An 8363-nucleotide genomic window follows, 5' to 3' on the forward strand; every position below is an offset into this window, starting at 1 on the left:
ACTACTTGATAAATATTAACTCAAGGGCCATGCAGCTCTATATTAATGCTAGCAATAAGAATATTTTATCAGTTTGGACATCCTGTTTTAAATTATATTTATATATATAAATTCATGATTTCTGTATGGAGTTAATTGAAAGAAAATGAATTTCAACACAGGGATAGTCTAATATAGATGACACACATATATACAATTGTTATATCATATTATTGATTCAAATGAATTTTTTACTTAACAATTTAACAGTATTTATTTCTCATGACATTAAATTGTTATATACAACATACTAGTTTAATTAAGTTATCATTTATTCTTAAGCATTTGAATTATTTGAATATTTTAAAATGAGAAATAATGGAATCAAGAGGAAATATTGGGCCCTTCTTCCTGACTGTATACCTTTTTCCCTTTTCTTCTTTAAAAAATTTTTTTTTATGTTTATGGATTTAGGGATATAAATGCAGTTGTGCTACATGGATATACTGCATAGTGGTGAAGCCTGGGCATTTCATATTCCCATCACCCGAATCGTGTACACTGGACACCATAGGTAATATTTCATCCCTCACTGCCCTGCCACGCTTCCCCCTTTTAAAGTCTTTAATGTCTATTATTCCACTCTGTATGTCCACGTGTACCCACTGTTTAGCTCCCACTTATAAGTGAGAACATGCAGTTTTTTACTTTCTGTCTGAGTCATTTCACTAAAAACAATGACCTCCTGTTCCATACATGTTGCTGCAAAATACATGATTTCATTCTTTTTTTGTGGCTAAGTAGTAGTCCATGATATATACTACATTTTTAAATCCAATCATCTGTTGATGGGCACTTAGGTTGATTTCATGACTTCGCTATTGTAAATAGTTCTACAATAAACATGACGACAGGTGTCTTTTAGATTTAATGGTTTCTTTTCCTTTGGTAGAGAGACCTAGTAGTGGGATTACTGGATGGAATGGTAGTTCTATTTTTAGTTCTTTCAGAAATCTTCATACCATTTTCCGTAGAGGTTGTACTAATTTATATTCCCACCAACAGTGTATAGGCATTCCATTTTCTCTGCATTCTCACCAACATCTGTTGTTTTTGACTTTTTAATAATAGGCATTCTGACTGGTGTAGGATGATATTCCATCACAGTTTTAGTTTGCATTGCGTTGATGATTAGTGCTGTTGAACATTTTTTATACATTTGTTGGTCACTTCTATTTCTTCTTTGAGAAATGGTTGTTAGTGTTCCTTGCTCACTTTTTAATGGAGTTATTTATGCATTTTTCTTGTTGATTTGTTTGAGTTCCTTCTATATTCTGGATATTAGCCCTTTGTTGGATGCATTGTTTGCAAATATTTCCTCTCATTCTGTAGGGTGTCTGTTTACTCTGTTGATTATTTCTTTTGCTGTGCAGAAGCTTTTTAGTTTAGTGCTAGTTGTCTATTTTTGGTTTCGTTGCATTTCTTTTTGAGAACGTAGTCATAAATGATTTGCCTTCTAGGATTTTTATAGTTACAGGTCTTAAATGTAAGTCTTTAATCCATCTTGAATTAATTTTTGTATATGGTAGGGATAGGGGTCCAGTTTAATTCTTGTTCTTATGGCTCCCCAATTTTCCTAAAACCATTAAGATTGAATATGGTGTCCTTTCCCTGGAGTACATGTTGTTGAACTTTATCAAACATCAGTTAGTTGTAGATATGTGTCCTTAATTCTGAGTTCTCTGTTTTATTCTGTGGATCTGAGTGTCTATTTTTTACCAGTACCATGCTGTTTTGGTTACTATTGCCTTATAGTATAATTTGAGGTCAGGTAATGTGATACCTCCAGCTTTATTCTTTTTGCTTAGAATTGCTTTGGCTGTTTGTACTATTTTTTTTTTTTGGTTCCATATACATTTTAGGGTTGCTTTTTCTAATTCTGATTATATACTTCTTAGAAAAAGATGTATCTCATTTCCGAAAGTTAAATTCCTAGACTAGTGGATATGTACATTTTCAAAAATTTTTATACATGATATCAAACTGCCTTTCAGGAATATTGTCCTGTCTCTTTAGTTAACATTCTCGACCTGATTTTTGCCATTTAGAACAGACCGTCATTTGTCTTTCTTTTGTTCTTTTCCTTTCTGGCAGCTACTCTGGACTCATGTAAATTATTCTACCGAATGTCAAAGCTGTGAAGATCATTCACATAATTTTCTATGTATTATGCAAGTCTTGTCATTTATTAGAGCAGGAAAGAATGTTTTTTTTTTATTTACTTGTATCTTAGTATTTATTTTCATGGAATTATAAATTTAAAGCCACAAGGAAAGTTTTCCTGAAATTGAGAGATTTAAATTCATCTTTTAAAATCCCAAAGTGATTTAATATGCCAAATTTAGCAAACTATGCACACTTATTTATATCCACTTTTATCAAGCTTAGATTTAAAATATTTCTATCACTAAAATGACTATCAAGTTAGTGCCAAAAGACTAAACTTGCCATATGAAAAGTATTTTGGAAGTTGGAAAACCTGAAACCTTGAAATCTATTTGAGCAATAACTTTAGTCTTTTGGGATACAATTATTTTGTGTGCTTATGTCACTATTCTGAAACTACTTTCATCTATTGCTCTCCAAAATTAACTTTCCATTAGGAGCTAAAAAAAAAGTTTATGTACCAATTCATTGAAAATAAAATTATAAAAAGTGGCAAAGCCAATATGTATTAATACTTTTCCAAAAATGGATATCTGTTTATCATTTTAGGAACTAATTACTTATGAATTGTATGCACCAAATTAATCAAAGATACCACTAAGCCATGTAATGATAATTTCACATTTGTGGGGCAAGATTAGCTTTTATGTAATTTAGTATGTTCTGGAAAGTAGAACTGGAAACTAAATTGAGATAAGCCCTCTAGCATATTCTTGGGAATTTCTAGTTTGTAGCAATGATGTTGAGTTAATATTTCTGTGAAAGTCATATACATTCAGTGTTAAGTAATTTGGGGACCACCTACATTTTTTAAATGAAATTCACTTTTTAAAAATATCTTTCTTATAACTCTATTTGACTCCATCATTAACTTCTCCTTTAAGAGGTAAGTATTGCATGACAAAACTCATCATTCCTGAAGTCAGGTTCCTAATTCTTCTAGACAAGTGGACTATCTCTTAAAAATAGAATAACCTGATGGGATGTATGACCATGAAAAGTTAGGACATTAGGCAGGTTCACAGGGGAGCGGGCTTATTCAGTACAGCCTCAGTCAAACGACTGAACAATGGCGTGAAATTGTGCAAGATTTATCATCATTATTACGTTTTACAGCAGGATAAGTCTATCTGTGGCTCAAAAAAATTAAAGACGCTTGCAGGAGAAGAGGTAGGTAGAACCCAGAGAGAGACAGAAGGTTGGCGCAAAATGAGAAAAGCACAATTCAGTTGTTTTTAATGCAAAGTTGATGTAAGTGAGAATGTTTCAATATAAAGGCATCCATGTTATCTGCCACACAAACTCATTTAAGTAAAAGTCAGCTAACCATGCTTACTGACAGTTTTATTTTTAAAGAAAATGATTTGTAAGGAATTCTATGTGGAAATAAAACTAAAAGGAAAGGAAATATCATATGCAAAAGAAAACTAACTACGAAAGTGGAAATTGAGAATTCAGGAACAGCTTGAACATAAAAACAGGTGGTGAGGGTAAATGTCAATCATTCTAGAATTCCCGTATTTATTTGTAAGGATAGCAAATTTCCTTTCAATGTACTGGATGGAGCTGATGTAATTGTACTTTAATCTTAAAAGACAAGGTGACCCCAATCATATTGAAGAACTTTGGGCTGATATTTGAATTTTTTTCATAAAATGATAACTTTTCCCAAATCCAGTTCTGCAGAAAATCATTATACCTGTTTCTAGCATATATGATTTTTCTGCTTACAGTGTTAAAAATATTATTTTTTTCATAAAATATTAGTACTTGCTAGTTGAATGTCTGGTTGGATAATATGAGAATAAAATTTGGCATCTGTTAATCTATTCACTTTCTTATTTTGTCATTTATTAAAAATAAAAATAAGTGCATATTTTATATTAAAGTATTGAAGAAATAATACAACAAATATTAAGGACTTACTAAACACAAAGAACTGCTGATAAAATTTTGAAGAAAATAGGCATCATTTTTGGTTTCATAGAGATCTTATTTGCTGAAAGAAACATTAGCCATATAGTAGAGAATAAACTAGAAAAATGCAACCTCGCTGAAAGCCACAAAGAAAATACTTATGTGATATGAAAGAATCCAATTTACAAAGTCAGAGAAAGCGTCTTCAAGTAAATTTTGCCTGAATTTCAATCTGACTGTTACATGAGAGGTAACTTATAAAGAAGAAAAAGAAGCACATTTGCAAAGGAAGGGACTGATAAGCATAAAGTTTTTGCTACAAGAAGGAACAGGTAGAATTTTCAGGACTATAAGACACACTGTATCGCTAGAATAGACACTGAAATAGGGCATGCGGTATGATGTATGACTATTGCTGCAGGGTAGTGGTAGAGAGCTCCATGCTGGGTCTTTCTGATCTTTTAAAATAATTTTGGCTTTATTTTAGGAGCAACTATGTATCATTAAAAGATAGATGTAGGAAAAAGATGTAAGGAAATGAATATGACTATATTTTTATTTTAAAAAAGCAATGACTATTTCCTACAGAATGCAAACTGGAAGTGTGAAACAGTGAAATCATCTAAGTGTCTATGACAGAAATCCAAATGAGTAAAAATAGTAACTTGATTATGATGCCTATTTACGCAAATAGCCATGGTAAATACACTCGAGGTAAATAGTTCAACTTCAAAACACAAAAGTAGATATTTGGAGGATTGGGTAAAAGAATGGGACTAGTGTAGAAAGACTTCATCTCTTCTTTCATAGGGTAGTCCATAGGTGTTAAAATCATTCAAATAACACAGGCATCTCTGCAAAAAGACAGACTGGGAAGGAAAGAACATAAATTTAGTTGGCACAGGTAGAATAACTGGTGGCTTTCAGCTATTTAAGAAGAGTTATTAGTTGGCAGTTGAACCTAATTATTTTATATGGAAGAAAGAGTCTTAGCTACCTGCCATGACTTCTGATGCCAACTACACGGATTTAGGCCAAACTTCACAGTTTAAGGGCACAGTCCTCCACAAGACTACTGTTCATCCAGTTGCTAGTTCAGTGGTCCACACTCCACTCTCACTTTGGACCAGCTGGCTACTAACTTGGGGTAAACCATGTCTCCTCAGGTCCAATAATTTAGTATCAGAGTTCACAGAACTCAGGAAAGTTCTAAATTTATAATTACAGTTTTGTTACAGGAAAACTATTCAAATCAGAATGTGCCAAGGGGAAAGGCACACAGAGCAAGGTCTTGGAAGTTTCCAAATATGAAGTTTCTGTTGTCTCTCCTCATGGGATCAGGACACATTAACCTCCCAGCACACTGATGTGTGACAATACAGAGTACTGCCAACCAGGGAAACTCTTCCAAGCTTCAGGATCCGGAGTTGTTATTGCAGTTTTATTACATAGGTAATGTTGATTGAATCATTTGTCACAGGGCTCAAACTCCAGCTCTCCTCTCCTCTCCAGAGGTGAGACTGATGACTCTTGTCTCAATGTCTCAATCCTCTAATCACATGGCTGGTCTTTCTGGTATGGCCAGGTCTCATCCTGAGTTATCTAATTTGCATAAACTATTTAAGGATCCACCCTGATTTGCATTAACCATCAAGTGTCTTCCAAACAGCTCATAATGAATAATAAAGTCACAACTATCAGTCAGGAAATTTCAAAGATTTTGAGGATGCCATCCAGGAACCAGGCACAATGGTCAGCCAGATATTTTATTACACACTAGCAACATGTCTGTGAAAAATCTACATCTAGGCAGTTGTTGCAGCTGTGGGTATAAATTTTCTTAAGTATTTGCATGCTGAGCTTGGGAATGGTGTTAAAACATATACTTGGAGACATCCAAAATTTAATGTTTAGGTTGAGGAAGGTGAGTAAATAAGAAAATGGGTTAGAGAAATAATGAGAACCCAGGGTGGATATCTCCAAATTGGAAGAGATCAGACACGGAACATTGCTGAGAGGTCTTATAAGAGAAGGCCTATTTTTTTTTTTAACTGACAGGTGTAATAATTATTTTAGCAATGTTGTTTTTATAGCTAGATGGGAACTGGATATTCAATGAGCAGATGGCTAAGTGGGATTCAGCAAATGCAGGCAGCTCCCTACAGGTATGTGGCTGTGAAAGAAAAGAACAGTGCTGGACAAGTGTAAAGAATCTGGGGTTTAGATTTAGTTGAGCTTGGTTTGGTTTTACTGAGGGCCAACTGAAAAGATTTAAAAGTTAATAGGAAAGAGTTAGTAAAGGAAAAGAGATTATTTTTAAAAGAAAAATTGTGTAGTTCCCAAGGATTTGGAAGAAAAAGAAGCAAAGCGCAGATGGAAGAAAAGCTTTACATAAGAGGGGAATGGAGTAGGATAGGCAAAGATAGAATCACTACATGCCAAGGCTTCATCTGAGCATTGGCACAGAGCAATAAACAAATCAGAATAACTATACCTTAATGGAGCCTATGGTCTAGTGAGGCAACTAACATTAGTTAAATTCACACATAATTACCAATGAGAACAGTGTTATTGAGGAGATAACGGTATCTGGATTTAGAAAACCAACAAATAAACTAAATCAATAAATGATTCACCTTACATAGAATATTTTGAGAAATGCTGAAAATTGATATTTAGATCAAAAGTTGGAAATGCTGTTACCATACCTAATGGGTTCACTCACCCAGCACAGTAAAGCCAGGCACTGACTGGAAGATTTGCAGTGAGAACAAAGGTCACTTATTCCAGTGTACTGAGCAAGAAGAATGGACAGCTAAGGCTTAAGACCCAAACTCCCCAGTGTTTACAAGCAAGAGATTTTAAAGGCAGGGATACATCTCAGGAAAGCCAAAGTTGTAGGCAAAGTATTAAACCAATACACAGGATACATAGGTTGAACATTGGTTTGGTCTATGGGTGTGACCCTCTTTAGGGCCCTTAGAAAGAAATGTAGAACAAAGAACTGCAATCAGAGTTGAGTAGTCAGTTCTCAGTTATCTGTGGTCTATGATATGGCAGTCAGCATTTTCCATCTGGTGAAAGTTTCTGAAAAACAGCTCAAGAAAACATGTTAAGAAAAAATTTTTTATTGCTGTGTTTTGCTTGGGAGACTATTGTTATGTGAACTCCCAAAATCTTAAATTTGAGATCAGTCTCAGTTAATTTAGAAAGTTTATTTTGCCAAGGTTTAGGACGTGCATGTGCCACAGCCTCAGGAAGTCCTGAGGACATGTGCCCAAGGTTGTTGGGCCACAGCTTAGTTTTTATACATTTTAGGGAGACATGAGACATCAATCAATATAGGTAGGAAGTACATTGGTTCAGTTTGGAAAGGCAAGGCAACTTGAAGCAAAGGCAGGAAGACTCCAAGCAGGGAGGGGGCTTCCAGGTCACAGATAGGTGAGAGATGAAGCGTTGTGTTCCTTTGAGTTTCTGATTAGCCTTTCCAAAGGAAGCAATCAGATATGCATCTATTTCAGTGAACAGAGGGGTGACTGAGTACAATGGGAGGCAGGTTTGCCCTAAGCAGTTCCCAACTTGACTTTTTTGTTTAGCTCAGTGATTTGGGGGCCCCAAGATTTATTTTCTTTTCCCAGTTACTATCTTCATTCTTATCAGATTGCTCATTTACTTTTCAAGACTAGTTAGGGGCCTGAAATTTCCCTGGAAGGGACTCAAGATCTTTCCTTTATTCGATGACTGGGGGACCTGGAAGCCCTTAATAGGAGTCTCTGCTCCATCTCAAGGCCTGGTTTGCAGAGGGATAGGAGTGGACAAAAGAGAAGGAAGAGTTCCTCACACAGTATTTACACCTTGTGCAAAAGCCCTACCCAGGGTACGAATGAGGTTGACATAGTTAAGAAAGGAAAGAGAACCAAGGATACTAAATTATAGTGAACAGAGGTGAGGTGGAGCAGTAGAGTGAGGTTATTTAAAATGCAGAAAGAAAAAAACAGTCTGTTTTATATACCCATGTATCTGTTCTTTTTATAATTTCTCCTTTCTTCCTGATGCTCCAAAATTATCATTTCCTGCCTGTTTGATATGGTTTGGTTCTGTCTCCACCCAAATCTTATCTTGAATTGTAGCTCCCATAATTCCCACACGTCATGGGAAGGACCCAGTGGGAGACAACTGAATCATGGGAGTGGGTCTTTCCCATGCTGTTCTCCTGATAGTGAATAAATTTCATGAGATCT

At 35.0% G+C, this 8363-nt stretch overlaps 1 annotated feature.

The window, feature by feature from the left end:
- Positions 7514 to 7808: a silencer, noted in NCBI's record as "tiled region #9294; K562 Repressive non-DNase unmatched - State 24:Quies". NCBI's record gives its function as "represses a minimal TATA promoter and a strong SV40 promoter by Sharpr-MPRA in K562 cells {active_cell/tissue: K562}" and the evidence as "EXISTENCE:reporter gene assay evidence [ECO:0000049][PMID:27701403]".

Source organism: Homo sapiens, chromosome 13 (assembly GCF_000001405.40).
Source record: "Homo sapiens chromosome 13, GRCh38.p14 Primary Assembly".
NCBI lineage: Eukaryota > Metazoa > Chordata > Mammalia > Primates > Hominidae > Homo > Homo sapiens.